The sequence below is a fragment of the Homo sapiens genome, chromosome 15 (genome assembly GCF_000001405.40).
Source record: "Homo sapiens chromosome 15, GRCh38.p14 Primary Assembly".
NCBI classification, from domain to species: Eukaryota; Metazoa; Chordata; class Mammalia; order Primates; family Hominidae; genus Homo; species Homo sapiens.
In genome coordinates this window covers 51,207,882-51,222,952 of record NC_000015.10, presented here as the reverse complement: position 1 = coordinate 51,222,952, position 15,071 = coordinate 51,207,882, and the positions used below count along the sequence as shown (strand labels likewise).

The 15,071-nt window shown below is 39.6% G+C and overlaps 1 protein-coding gene and 1 long non-coding RNA gene across 12 annotated transcripts in view; one reads left to right on the top strand and one right to left on the bottom strand.

Annotated features, from left to right (window-relative positions):
• CYP19A1 (cytochrome P450 family 19 subfamily A member 1) overlaps window positions 1–14,896 on the top strand; it is a 130,540-nt gene extending 115,644 nt beyond the window's left edge. For all 11 annotated transcript variants that reach the window (NM_000103.4, NM_031226.3, NM_001347248.1 and 8 more), the window contains 6 exons: window positions 428–604; window positions 4,298–4,412; window positions 7,136–7,250; window positions 7,721–7,883; window positions 10,392–10,633; window positions 11,897–14,896. In NM_000103.4, the coding sequence (NP_000094.2) occupies window positions 428–604; window positions 4,298–4,412; window positions 7,136–7,250; window positions 7,721–7,883; window positions 10,392–10,633; window positions 11,897–12,145 (1,061 nt within the window). In that variant the 3' untranslated portion in view covers window positions 12,146–14,896. The remainder of the gene's footprint in view (window positions 1–427; window positions 605–4,297; window positions 4,413–7,135; window positions 7,251–7,720; window positions 7,884–10,391; window positions 10,634–11,896) is intronic.
• MIR4713HG (MIR4713 host gene) overlaps window positions 1–15,071 on the bottom strand; it is a 256,425-nt gene that overhangs the window by 70,960 nt on the left and 170,394 nt on the right. The window lies entirely within an intron of this gene.

Here is a 15,071-nt window from a genome sequence, read left to right as displayed (position 1 = left end):
CACCTGTTGAAACGCAAAATAAATATGACCCTAGGCAAATCCAAATCATCTTTGGAGGGAAATGTATGCAATAAATATGAAAAAATCACTGATTTGTGATTTATGACCACAAGTACTAAATGTTTCATTTGCAATCTCATAAATGGCTGGCTAGAGCATGAAAAAAAGTTTAATTTTTAATAGTTTGTTTAAAATAATATTTGTCCCTATCTCCTTCCGTTCATTCATTCTTAACCATAGGATAGTACATGCTTATGTAAAATTAGGAGACCACAGAAAAGCATACGAAAATATTATGAAAACTTCCACCCAATTATTAAATTAAAAATTGTGGACAATTAAGCTCCAACATAAAAAGCCAAAATGGCATGATTGTGTGTGTGCCCTGGAGTTCGTGATGGCTGATTCTCTGATGTGTACTCTGCAGCTCTGTCAGGCCCCGGCCTTGTTCGTATGGTCACAGTCTGTGCTGAATCCCTCAAAACACATCTGGACAGGTTGGAGGAGGTGACCAATGAATCGGGCTATGTGGACGTGTTGACCCTTCTGCGTCGTGTCATGCTGGACACCTCTAACACGCTCTTCTTGAGGATCCCTTTGGACGGTACTGAAATTTTCACTCTCACATCTTGACCATCTGTCCTTTACTGAACAAGGAGCTAGGAGGGATAACAGACCAAAGGAATCACATGCCATTTTCTACATTGCTCTTGTTTAAACATTTCTAAGTACTCCTCGTTTTTTTCCCTAGTGTTTCTGCTTTGTTCACTTATAAAATATAAATTTCCATAAAGTAGGGGCCAGCATCTACTAGCCTTTTGTATCTTTCCTCATTACTCTAGGAAATAGAATTCTACCCACAGTTGAAACTTAACAAATGTGATTAGTTCGTTTGGTTATTAACATATCCTACCACCAATCAACTTTATATATTTAACCATTTCCAGTTGTTCTTTTGGGCATGATATATACATACATATATACATACATACCCACACATATATACACACACTCCTCCCTCAAAGCTACTAAACATGAAAACATTGTGCCTATATGATAAAAATGTCAATATTGCTGGTGATACTGATGCTGATGGAAATGACGATATTAGCTGCCATTAACGTAGTATCTAATGTGTGCCAAACAATATTAAAAATTGCTGTATATACATGTTTGCCATTTATTATTTATAACCTTAACAAGATGTCTCACTCATAAGACTACTTTCCGCACTATGATACAGAAATGAATATTAAAACATGTGCATGCTCATGTCAAACTCATAGAACTTGATTTTATTTTGGCAGGATTAAACCAATTTGCAACTTGAGTACAAATGCCAATATTTCAGCTAGTTCTTGAAAAGTTGTGCCATTGTGCAAAAGTCATTGAATTATTTGATAACTTTTTAACCTAATGACCAAACACCTGACAGGAATGGAATTCACTGGACTTGTATCTAATTGTTTTACACTGTTTTCTATGGGTTACATTTTTTATTGCCATTGTGACCTTTATCCACACACTAACCTGGAAAGTATAGGAATAAAAGAATTGGCATTCTTTCTGATACACCCTTTTTGTTTTCTTCTTAAAGTCATTTATATTATGTATTACTCTTAAAGAATGTTTTAGTCTCCATTTTAGTAGTCTGTGCATAAGGTAGTAATACATGTACACAAAGAAAAATTCACAAGCCCATTCAGGTGTCTTTTAGAACATTATTTACCACTAAATATTTATACAGTTGACATAATGCTTATTATGCCCTTGAATAATAGAATTTGTTTTGTTTTTACTTCTTATCCATAAGCATTGGCCTTACATTGCCTCAAGAGGAACAGAATTTATTATTAAACAGGATTCTTAAATCCATAACTCATATTGTGACTTCATACATTTTGTAACCCTAGTAGTGAATATACCCTAAAAACCTATAAATCCCCCCAAATCACTCTACTGATGAAAAAAAAAAAACATGTGCATGCAACTCTACCACCACCAAAAAACAAACATTAATCATTTGAGTAGTTTGGTGGTTACCAGAGGATGGGAAGGGTAGTGGGGAGAGAAGAGATGAAGAGAAGTTGATTAATGGGTACAAAAATACAGGCAGATAGAAGAAACAAGACCTAGTGTTCAAAAAATCAGTGTAGTGAAGAAAATAAATAATAATCTATGTACAACCAAGTAGCTAGTAGAGAAAATTTGAATGTTCTCAGCATAAAGAAAAGATAAATGTTTAAGGTGATGAATATCCTCATTACCCTGATTTGGTTATTACACATTATACAAATTTATCAAAATATTACAGTTACCCCTAAATATGTATATCCATTATGTATCAATAGAAAATTAATCATTTGGATTAATTCCATTCTACTGTTGGCATTAAGTATGTACAACTCAATGTGACTTTTCCTGAATTAACTTACACCAGTGTTCATTGATTCATACATTCATTCATCAAACATTTATTGATTGCTTATTTTATGCCAGGCACTGTTCTAGGTTCTGGGGACATAACAGTAAGCAAGACAGATAAAATTCTTGCCTTCAAGGGGCTTACATTCCAGTGAGTGATGTGGACAGGAAAAGACATAGATATCTAATAAAATATTAGGCAATAATAAGTGCCTTGAAGGCAAAATGAAGCAGGGCAAGAGGACAGGAAGTGAAGGAGGGCAACAGTGTGTGTGGGCACAGATGTCATGGAGAGGGTGGTTAGAAAAGGCCTCTGCAGAGAAGACATTTGACCATAGCTCGAATTTAGTGAGGCCACAAGCCACAGGCAGATATGAGGGAAGAACACTCCAGGCGGAGGAACAATGCGTACTTTTAACACTTGCCCCAACCAGCTGAACTGGAACACATGCTACCTGGTATACTACACTTGGGCACATAGACAAGCTATAAGCCCTCCCTATTGCCGCATCTCCCCTACTCCAGCTACTCCATACAAGAGCTGGAGACACTTCATCTGATGGCCATTTGGATGGGAGCCCACAATCACTTGAAGAAGTTTTAGTCACACTTTCTCACCTGATCTCTTTTCAGGCAGGGATGCCACTCCCAGGGTGCCTGTTCTACAGACATCACTTCTAAAGTGAAACAGGCGTGTATTTTAAAAGTCTAGATTTCCAGGTCCCCCTCTAGCCTTGCCTCATTAGGAAGGATCATATAAAAGGATTTGTAAATCTCTCCATTCATTTTTGGATGCAGACTATGATGCTGGCAAACCTGTGCAACCCACAGAGTTACATAATCCCTTTTCACAGGGATCCTTGTTAAACTCTCAATTTGCCTAAGGGACCCAGTGCAAGAAAAGAGAAAAGGACATGGTCCTGAGGTCAGACAGAAGCAGCTCCAGCCTCAGGGCCTGCCTGTCAGCCACACTGGCTGTATGGTTTTGGGCAAGCTTCCGAATTTCTATGAATTGCAATTTCTTCCACTGCAAAAGGATGACACCACAACGCCCATGGCAAGAATATGAAGATGAAATTAAAAATCTCTTTCACAAAGTGCCTAGCATGGTGACTGGTATTTAGCAGTTGGAAATATATGTCTGTTCTCTCTTTTGTATATTATCTGGTATAATTTGAAAAAATAAGGGTTTATTTCCTCTAGTATTCAATTTAATTAAAGAGCATTTATTAAGAGCTGATTGTATGTGAGGCTTAGGACAAGGCATTAAAGAACACAAGATGAATTCTACACTCTGGACTGAATATAAATAACTATGAAAGCTATGTGATGAGTGTTATGGGGGAAAAATGAATAAAGCACCATGAGAACATGATTAGAAGCTATTAAGTGTATAATCCAGATAAACTGTCCACTTCATGGCTCTGCTTACCCAGCACCAAATGAAGTTAAAATGTGGTTGTTAGCCACCTAACAGGCTCTGCTTTTTACACTCCCAGGTACCAGAGTGAAGGCCATAACAGCCATAATTACTAGTTCCATTTGTACAGAGAAACAGGAGCTAGTTGAAAGCTCAGCCCAAGGAGAATATGTGAAATTCTAGGCTGAAAACTTGAAAACACAAACTTGAAAACTGGCAACTCACTGGTTAAGTAGGCCAATTTGGATGGCAAGGAGAACAAATCAGTGCTTGATTTGTCTAGTGGTATTCACGTGGCTAAAACTCCTACTGAAGATGGAATCTTGCTGAGCTTAGAACCCCCAGACTGTTAGGAGAATCTGCAGGGAATGTTTTCTGCTCAGAGCAACCTTCTTAGGCTCACATTTTGCTCAACTGCTCTTTCTTGTGTATGTGTGTTTTTTTTTCCTACAGAAAGTGCTATCGTGGTTAAAATCCAAGGTTATTTTGATGCATGGCAAGCTCTCCTCATCAAACCAGACATCTTCTTTAAGATTTCTTGGCTATACAAAAAGTATGAGAAGTCTGTGTAAGTAATACAACTTTGGAAGATTTATGAGTACAATTGGATTGGTTTTTTTCCCTTGTGTCTTTGCTGTTTTTCTTGGCCTCTCAGGTAACTTTTCTGCTCTCTAGAGCCCACAAGGGAGCTGTTGATTAAGTTGCTGATGAAACACTTTTTACAGCAATTTGGCTGCATTTGGCCAGACCAGAGAGTAAATGAAGCCTTTGGCTGGGCAGCTTCTCGGCAAGGGGGCTGAGTGTGTGGTCTGGGAGCTTCAGCTTGGTAACTAGGACACTAGTGTATTTTGAGTTGAAGAGAAGGGTCGACTGATCCTGTCATTAATATCTGTCAAAATTATCTTTGCACAACTAAAAAACTGGAACTACAGAATCAATTTATAGTTGTGTTGTTTTTGAATGAATTTAACATAATTCAACTTGTAAGAACTGACAATAGTCTCAATAGAATTTTTTCTTAATGAGTACAATTAACTTCAATAAAATGTGTGTGGGTTTTTGAAATTATGTATCTTGTGTTTTGGGGGTCCTGAAATTGTCATTAAATGACTTTGTTTTGGTCTTAGAATCATCCAGCAGAAAACTGGACAAATGCCCAGTGGCCTACAGGCTAATCAATGGGCTTGTAGAGTACAGGTAGCCAGTCACTAAACACTGCTACCTCTAACCACCAGTGGAAAGCCTGTGGAATCTAGAAACAGGAACTCCTGTTTTGTGTCCTGTTTCTAATGGCCTTGGGAAGTTATTTAAAATAAGATATAACCTATCTTCTAGAGTAGGGGCATAGGTTAATGAGATCATATAAGTAAGGCAATTAGCATAGAGCATGGCACATAGAGGGTACTAAATATGTTAGTTTCTCCCTTTCCTGTGTTCATATCTTCCTCAGATGTTCCTAACCATCTCAAGTTCTCCATCTCTAAATGTCCCCAAGCTTGTCTGAAGACCTGACTTTATTCTACCTGTGGATTTTGAAATTCGATAATATTAGTTTCTAGAGAAGAAGCCGACTTGATGTTGTTTTGTTTATTCTCTCATGGTTGATAAGTACTAGGTGAATGTTTTAGACACTTGGTTCTTTATACATTTCATTTCCACCAGAGCTTATTGTGACTTGAAAACTAATAGATAAAAGATTCATCTCTTCCCTGTGATCAGAGTTGTTGGCAGTAGTGGTGGTCTGGAGAGTTCATTACATAGTTCTCAGTCATTAGTTTAGCCTTGGTCTTGGCCATTGGACCCACAGAAATTTATTGTATGAGTCTGTATAACGGATTCTCTTAGGTTTCTGCAGTTCCCTCAAGGAGCTCTCTATGAATTTAGAGGCTGGGGCATTCCAACACCTCCCAGACCATTTGGGGCTAGTGCCCAGATGGGAATGCTATGAGCATTCTCAGCCTACTAGGAAGAGGGCACCACAGCCCAGCTGAGTGAATATCTGTTCTTTGTATATAAGAGATGCTTAGCAAACATTTGATGAATGTGTGGATCAGTAGGGTATTTAAGTGTATAGGTGAACATGTCAATTAGAATTTGGAAGATGGATTTATTGTACATTTAACGTAATACAGAACATTGTTCCCTGAGATAAGGGAACAATACACTTACAAAGAACACATACACTTAAGGACAGAGATAAGAAAAATTGAATTTAGATTAAGGTGACTTTATTTTTCATCCAGTCTGATCCCTTCACTTTAAAAGGATGTAGGGCCCAGAGACTTAAAGTATCTTACATAGAAAGAGAACAACCTGAACTAGGACCTGACCCCACCCCGTCCAAGTGTTCTTTCAACCACACTGCCAAAATGCCTATACATATTTATGCAGCTGGTAATTCATTCAACACATATTAGTGTTTACAATGTGGCAGAAACTAACAAGGCATGAGAATAAATATCAAGAATGATACCTAGTCACTGGAGTTTACTGTTTAGAACAGGAATCTCAAACTCAACTGTCTTCAGGACTAGGCAAATAAAAGCAGACTATGGGGGCCAGGTGCAATGGCTCATGCCTGCAATCCCAGCACTTTGGGAGGCCGAGGTGGGTGGATCACCTGAGGTCAGGAGTTTGAGACCAACCTGACCAACATGGTGAAACTCTGTCTTTACTAAAAATACAAAAAATTAGCTGGGCGTGGTGGCAGGTGCCTGTAATCCCAACTACTCGGGAGGCTGAGGCAGGAGAATGGCTTGAACCCAGGAGGCAGAGGCTGCAGTGGGCTGAGATCATGCCACTGCACTCCAGCCTGGGTGACAGATTGAGACTTTGTCTCAGTTAAAAGAAAAAAAGAAAAAGCAGGCTATGGGAATGTAAGACAAGGGAATGGAGGTTCCTGTGGCAAACTGAAGAGCACCTGACAGCACTCACAGGTTTTTTTGTTTTTGTTTTTTTAATTTAAACATTGTGCCTGCCAAATCAGAAATTGGAAAACATTGTTAGATTTAGCCTTTTGATATCAATTTTTAACCCTTAACTAGAAGTCACAGGCTTGATTTCGCTACCAGTATCCAGAAATCTTAGCTAACTCTGGCACCTTAACATGAAGTGTAGGGTCTATGTAATTTAAGGGTATTTATGAAGAAATAAAATAGTAATTCACTTACTCATAAGCACCAATGTTTTCAATTAAAGCAGATCATTTTACCTAAATACATGGCAAATAAATCTGTTTCGCTAGATGTCTAAACTGAGTAAAAATAGACAATATTTTGACTTTTTTTCCAGCAAGGATTTGAAAGATGCCATAGAAGTTCTGATAGCAGAAAAAAGACGCAGGATTTCCACAGAAGAGAAACTGGAAGAATGTATGGACTTTGCCACTGAGTTGATTTTAGCAGAGGTACTGACCTGAACTAACTGTAATTCCCATGCCACATATGTTATGACTGTGTAGAGGTGTGTAAAGATCCCCTTTTGTAACTGTTGCATATTTCTGCTTTTAAATACTTTCTCTAGCAGTTCTGTAATCCCAATCCAAATAGCCCACACATTAGATATTTCAGTAAGGCTTTTAAGATTGGAACATTCTAGTAAGACTGACTGCTAAGATTGTGACTCTTCTGTGTAACAGTATAAAATATGAAAACAAGTTGGGGGAGGCCAAAGACACTACATATACATAGACAGTCGGCCTAATCGTTCATCTTTCAGCTAAAGATTGTCATGTAAAATGTCCACAGTCAATCACAGAGACATGTGGTTTCTATGATTTCATTTTGTTGAGGTTGTTGATCCTTGAGTGTCACCTCCCCTCATTTTTTGAAACTTTGATTCACTTTTCCAAATTTTTCCCATCTTCCAATTGTTCAGAAACGTGGTGACCTGACAAGAGAGAATGTGAACCAGTGCATATTGGAAATGCTGATCGCAGCTCCTGACACCATGTCTGTCTCTTTGTTCTTCATGCTATTTCTCATTGCAAAGCACCCTAATGTTGAAGAGGCAATAATAAAGGAAATCCAGACTGTTATTGGTAAGAATTTATCAAATAAATAATACATCTTAAAAACAATTTCTTCTGAATGTCCATTTCTTATGTCCTAAGAATCTGATATCAAACATGAAATTTTTTATAATTTGCTCCAAACAATAAAGCAAGACATTCTGTCACATTTGATTACACCAGATAGACGGAAAAGATAGCTCTTTCTGTGTTCTTAATCATAAAAATGATGCATGCTCATTGGGAGGAATTTAAATCACAGAATGATGTGTAAAGCAGTAAGTGACATCCCCCAATCCTTTCCGCTCTCCTCTCCAGCCTCATCTCCCCTCTCCAGTGGCAACCATTGTTAATAGTTTGCTGTGTATTTGCTAAAATCTTTTTCTATTTGCCCACAAACACATATTTATGGTTGGATTTGTCCATTTTACAAAAACATGGGATCATATACAATGTTCTGCCTACCTTGTCAGTTACAAAAGACTTTTGTGGACTCTCCCAGGGAAATTATCGTCCCAGGGAAGTGATAGTCTATCATTTATAGCACTGTTTCTGGGCTTCAAGCAGCCCCTTCACAAATGAACTTCCAGTTTGTGGCAGAAGGAAGAGGAGAGGATGACAGCAAAGACAGGGTAGTGATACATTTCCCTCTCCACTCCAATCCAGTGATGCTAGCCCCTTCCTCTCCCCTGCCCTCTGCAGGGGAGCTTCCAGGTCCACACTCAGGTCTTCTCCAACTCTACCGCCTCACTACTCTGTCTCTGCTTCAATTTCATCCTGCTCCACTCTTCTACAGAAACAAGGCCATCTTTGAAAGAAATCAAACTTGCTTTCTGGGAGAAAGCAGAATTCCTCATTTGACACTTCCTTCACATAAGTAATCTTTTAGGAACACATTTCTTACAGATGTGAAGAGAGATCACAGAATGTGGACTTCCCTCTCTTGACTTTACACAGACCCTGCAAAACAAGTTATTTGGTTGTAGAAGGGCATCATCTTTTTCAAACCATTGGAGTGCTCCTTGAAATAGTTAAACGTAAGGGAAAATTTCATCGAAGGGTTAAATATGGGAGAGAAGGGATCTGCAGATGCCTCACACAGGTGGGAAGTTTCCAGGCAAGGTAGATAGCAAGGATACAGAATAACATCTGGAATCCAAATTCCAGCATGTTTTCTTGAGTGCCTCCTAGCAGGTTCTCAGGTTCTGTGCCAGGTGCAGGGCTACAGCCTTGAACAAGCCAACACCACCCCTGCACTCACGGGGCTCATGGTCTGGTGGGAAAAAGAAAACAAGCTCAATACAGTAAAGAGAGACCGAAGGAGGGCATTCAGAGAAACCATAAGCCTTTAATACATATTGAATACCATTTATTTGAGAGGTGAAATGTACGTGTACATGTTAATGTTCCCCTGACACTTCAAAAGGCCTCTGCAAAGATGGAAAAGCAGCAGAGCCATTTGCAAGCGTCCATGCTCCCTCCTGTGTGCCACACACAGACTCGCTAACTACTTCCTAGTGAGCACCTTTGGTCACCTTCTCCATCATCTTCTTTTCTACCTCCCAACCCCAGCTATACAGGCCCCATTAGACCCTTGAGTGTGCCAAGGGCAGTATGTAAGAGGAAGGGCCATGAGAAGACTCTGACCAAACTAGACCTTTCCTCAGTGGCTTCGTTGTATATGAGACAGGGCTGCCTCAGGACCCTGGGCTATTTTTCATCCTGCAAAAGTGGCATCTCTGAAGCTTTACCATGTCTGGGAATAATCTAAGTCTCTTTGACCAGTGTCAGGCTAATCTGAGACAGTGAGGGTGTCCATCTATCCCCAGCTCACCCAGGGCTGATCTGAGGCACCTATTTTGTCGTGGTGGGGAGAACATCCTTGTCACTCTACTGCAGGTCTTTCTTGATGAGATGCAGAGGGACTATCAGTGACATGTATGGGCAGATGACTGCACAGGTAACCAGAAGAGAAAATTTCATTGAAATAGATCAAATCTGCCATCTCACTTTGACTCTGCAGCAGCCTGTGCATCATCTCTGGGATGGTTGTGGTGCCAGTTTGCTCGTAAGTGAAGAGAGGAAATGAATGTCCCCTACAATTTAGAGTAGGGAACAAAAACTCAAAGATTTCAGAAAGCAGGCACATGAGATGAATGTTTGAAGCAGATTGGGTGTGGTCTAGATGGAACTGTATGATGTATGCCCCCTCTAAACAGGTAATTGGCCACTCAGCGTCAGCCCATTATTGCTATGTGGGAATGTAAGTTCAGCATCACCAAATTTTCTGGACATTCAGACTTTTCTATAAACTCCACCAGTTTTTAAGGTAATTGGCTTCATATCTGAATTTTTATAAAACACTCTGTGGCCCAAGCATAACATATTTGGCCCTGGTTGCTGGTGTGCATTAGAATTAGAGCCACAATTTTTTTCAACCAAGAGCAAACGGTTCTGTGGAAAAAAATAGAAGCTTTAATACCAATCACAGATGGAAACTAACATTACCTTCTTTGTTCCTTTTATCTGTTTCCACAGGTGAGAGAGACATAAAGATTGATGATATACAAAAATTAAAAGTGATGGAAAACTTCATTTATGAGAGCATGCGGTACCAGCCTGTCGTGGACTTGGTCATGCGCAAAGCCTTAGAAGATGATGTAATCGATGGCTACCCAGTGAAAAAGGGGACAAACATTATCCTGAATATTGGAAGGATGCACAGACTCGAGTTTTTCCCCAAACCCAATGAATTTACTCTTGAAAATTTTGCAAAGAATGTAAGAGCCCTTCCTTAAAACTGAGTGTGCCACTCTTGAAAATGTCAACTGTTAAATCCTCTCTGGTTCTTTGTGTTTGCACCATAAATACTTCATTTTTCTTACTCATTCCCTCTGCCACCTCACCAGGAGCACACACGTCCCCTAGCTTGGAGCAGGGCTCCCGTATTCATCCTCAAGCCTTCAAGGATGTTGGGTCTCCAGCTCTAAGAAGTATCTACATGGTGGCCACAAAATAGGTCAAAATGTGAAAAAGCTGGGCCCTTCATTTGGCTAAAATGAAGTGATTTTTGTTTAACCCAACCAACCTACTTTTCCATTTAAACTTTGTCATCATGTCATCACATTCAGCTATAGCACCATCTGAGCAAAGGAAAGTCCACTACTGCTTCAGATGAAAATCAAATGAGACCAAAAGATTTGGTTTTTGCAAAGTGCCTTTGGCTCATCAAATGGCCCCATGAGCAGTAGGTCCCATTCTAAATAGGACTTAATAATTAGAAGAGAGACAGTTTTTCTTTTTTTATAATTGATGTGTACTACAGATTCCACCTTCATTATGTCAAATTTTAGGCAATATGTTTTTCAATCTGAATTACGTACGCAGTTCCCTAAGTGCCCTTTTTTCAATTTGCATATGGTGTAGAAACATGATGCTAAATAATTCAGTACTCTAATTCATTTTGTTTCTACACGGGCAATCCAGATAATGCTATGTAAATCAGTCAACTGATCAACAAAAATTTATTGAACATCTACTATATGCCAGGCACTAAGTCCAAATGTGGACAAGACAGCTGTGGTCCTCATTAATTTTCTGCATAACTACAAATAGTTAGATGCTTGGCACTGAATAGGCCAGGAATCTACATCCTTGCTTGCCTTTATCTCTTATATGGTGTCACACAAAAATAATCTTTGCCTTAGTGACTTATAAAACAATAGTAAATCTGTGGCTATTCCACAGAGCTACCTGATTATACTAACACTTGCTGTAATAAGATTTGGTTTGCATTGCTTTACCCCAGCACATGAAAGGCAAAACTGGGGACTCTCTGAGGTTGGGTCAGAACACAGGGGGTGAATGAAATAGGACATAGAAAGGGCTTGAGTTCCAGTTGTTCATCTGAGGGGATGGAGGGCATTGTAGCTGATAACCCCAAAACAGTGTTCTGACTGACCCATGTTTTCAGAATGAATCAAACAGAGACTGAGTGACTCTAGCCTTTAATATTCTGGCTAACTGTCTGATCATTTTCATAGGTTCCTTATAGGTACTTTCAGCCATTTGGCTTTGGGCCCCGTGGCTGTGCAGGAAAGTACATCGCCATGGTGATGATGAAAGCCATCCTCGTTACACTTCTGAGACGATTCCACGTGAAGACATTGCAAGGACAGTGTGTTGAGAGCATACAGAAGATACACGACTTGTCCTTGCACCCAGATGAGACTAAAAACATGCTGGAAATGATCTTTACCCCAAGAAACTCAGACAGGTGTCTGGAACACTAGAGAAGGCTGGTCAGTACCCACTCTGGAGCATTTCTCATCAGTAGTTCACATACAAATCATCCATCCTTGCCAATAGTGTCATCCTCACAGTGAACACTCAGTGGCCCATGGCATTTTATAGGCATACCTCCTATGGGTTGTCACCAAGCTAGGTGCTATTTGTCATCTGCTCCTGTTCACACCAGAGAACCAGGCTACAAGAGAAAAAGCAGAGGCCAAGAGTTTGAGGGAGAAATAGTCGGTGAAGAAACCGTATCCATAAAGACCCGATTCCACCAAATGTGCTTTGAGAAGGATAGGCCTTCATTAACAAAATGTATGTCTGGTTCCCCAGTAGAGCTCTACTGCCTCAACCCAAGGGGATTTTTATGTCTGGGGCAGAAACACTCAAGTTGATTAGAAAGACCAGGCCAATGTCAGGGTACCTGGGGCCAAACCCACCTGCTAGTGTGAATTAAAGTACTTTAATTTTGTTTTCTGTGGAGGTGGAAAAGCAACATTCATAGTCTTTGGAGAAATGCTTAGAAATTCAGCATTTGACCCTTGCTGTGAATTAAGCCCAATTAATTCCTGTTTGTCTACATATGATCTGTCTGTGGCAAAAGTTTAATCAGAGGAAATTCTTTCCCAGTCTGTCGATTTATGCCTCAGCCACTTGCCTGTGCTACAATTCATTGTGTTACCTGTAGATTCAGGTAATACAAACTATATATAATCATCAAGTAATACAAACTAATTTAGTAATAGCCTGGGTTAAGTATTATTAGGGCCCTGTGTCTGCTGTAGAAAAAAAAATTCACATGATGCACTTCAAATTCAAATAAAAATCCTTTTGGCATGTTCCCATTTTTGCTTAGCTCAATTAGTGTGGCTAACCAAGAGATAACTGTAAATGTGACATTGATTTGCTCTTACTACAGCTTCAGTGATTGGGGGAGGAAAAGTCCCAACCCAATGGGCTCAAACTTCTAAGGGGTACTCCTCTCATCCCCTTATCCTTCTCCCTCGACATTTTCTCCCTCTTTCTTCCCATGACCCCAAAGCCAAGGGCAACAGATCAGTAAAGAACGTGGTCAGAGTAGAACCCCTGAAGTATTTTTTAATCCTACCTCAAAATTTAACAGTTACCTGAGAGATTTAACATTATCTAGTTCATTGAATCATTGTATGTGGTCATGGATAAATTGCACACCTTGGAATTCGCTTTCTAAAGGAAATCAAATGAATGGAGGAACTTTCCAAACACCACTTTACTTGTGTTATATAGCCAATATAACTATCTCTACTGAATGTCATTGAAAAACTAAAAAATTAAACTTATTTACAAATAGGTAAATATTTGTCATTGAATCCATTGCCATCCCATTTGACTGTTCTTTTCATCCTACTGTCTAGTAATAAGCTGAGTATAAGATGACAGTGTAATCTCCCTGAAAGCAGGAGCTACTTTCTTTCTTTTGTAATCTATTTCCATCCCCATTTCCCTGTCCTGTCTCCCTGTATTCACTCCCAAGCTCAGTTCTGAATAGACATTCCTGCTCAGAGATACTCCCAACTGATGCAGAAACCAAATAAAGAGGTAGGTATTCCAAGAATTCAAGAATGGACATTAGTAAAGAATAAAACATTTATTTGAGCTTGGAATTATTTGGATCATCTATATGGCCTAAAAATATATGGACTATGCCTGTGTACCTGAATACGTATGTAGTCAGGTCAAGACAATCATCCAAATAACTTAGACCCCTAAAAGCAAGGCCAGGATTTGCAATTTAATGTGTCCCAATTAATTCACTTGAAAATTAGTAACACTCTGTTTACGTTGCCTCTGGCTGGAGCTGCATGGTGGAAGAAGCCCAACTTTGGATCCATGTACTTCACCCATCCAATACTCTTGGGACATTTATGTGTATTTTATCTGTATATATGAAGCCAATGTCTATGTCTACACAGTCAAAGTGAAATGCATGTTTGATATAGCTGTACATAGATATCTATTTTGCAGGTACAAAAATATCCTGGGGGAAAACTGGGAGTGGAAGGGTGGGGGGTGGGAGTGAGGGACATGGGGGAGGGACAGGAAGAGGAGAAGTGTTGGTTTGAACGATCCAAGCAAACTCTCCCAGAATCAAATTACCTGGGTAGTTGTTCAACTTTTCACTCTGCTTAGCCTGTATAGACAAACCCCATATATTTGTAGAGGCTTGGCCTTGGAATTCTGGAATACCATTGGCTTTTCAGTAGGCTGATGAACACATTTTGAAAATTCTATTATCTTCAGAATTTTGCCCCATTGTTAAGTGCTTAACCGTCACTCTTGAATGTGCAATGTGCTGTGGATTCCATTTTCATCAGTTCTGAAAGAACTGCAATGTGTAAATTATCAGTGAAATGCATGCATATAAGGGCTCTATCATTATCAAATTGTAAGGACAATTGTACCCTTCTATATCTTTGGGCATGCTAGACACCCCCATGCCTTCATTGAGATCCCATTTTCCCCCTCTCAAGTGGAAAATAATCACATCCAGCAAGCTCTCTCATTATTGAGAAATACCATTTGGAAATTGCCACTTTTTATTCCTAAGCAGCACCTTTCACTGTTCATGATGCTAATGTTCCACAAAAGCATGTGCCATTGGCCCACTGAAGGATAGAGGGACCCTTTTCAATCTATATCAGCTGGGCTCTGGGACTGAATCTCTCACCTATTCTTGCAGAAAGACATACTAATTAAACCTTGTCAAAGTAGTAAGTCAAATGGAGCGTATGATGCTTTCAGTTGCTCTTAGCTCAAAGAACAAAGTCAAGGGATTAACCCTTCAGGGATCAATCCTGTCAGGGCTTACCTGTTTCAACTTCCTCATTTCCTTTCTGCAGCTTTTAGCAGGTATTGGCCTATTCTAGGAAGTCAATGGCCATAACC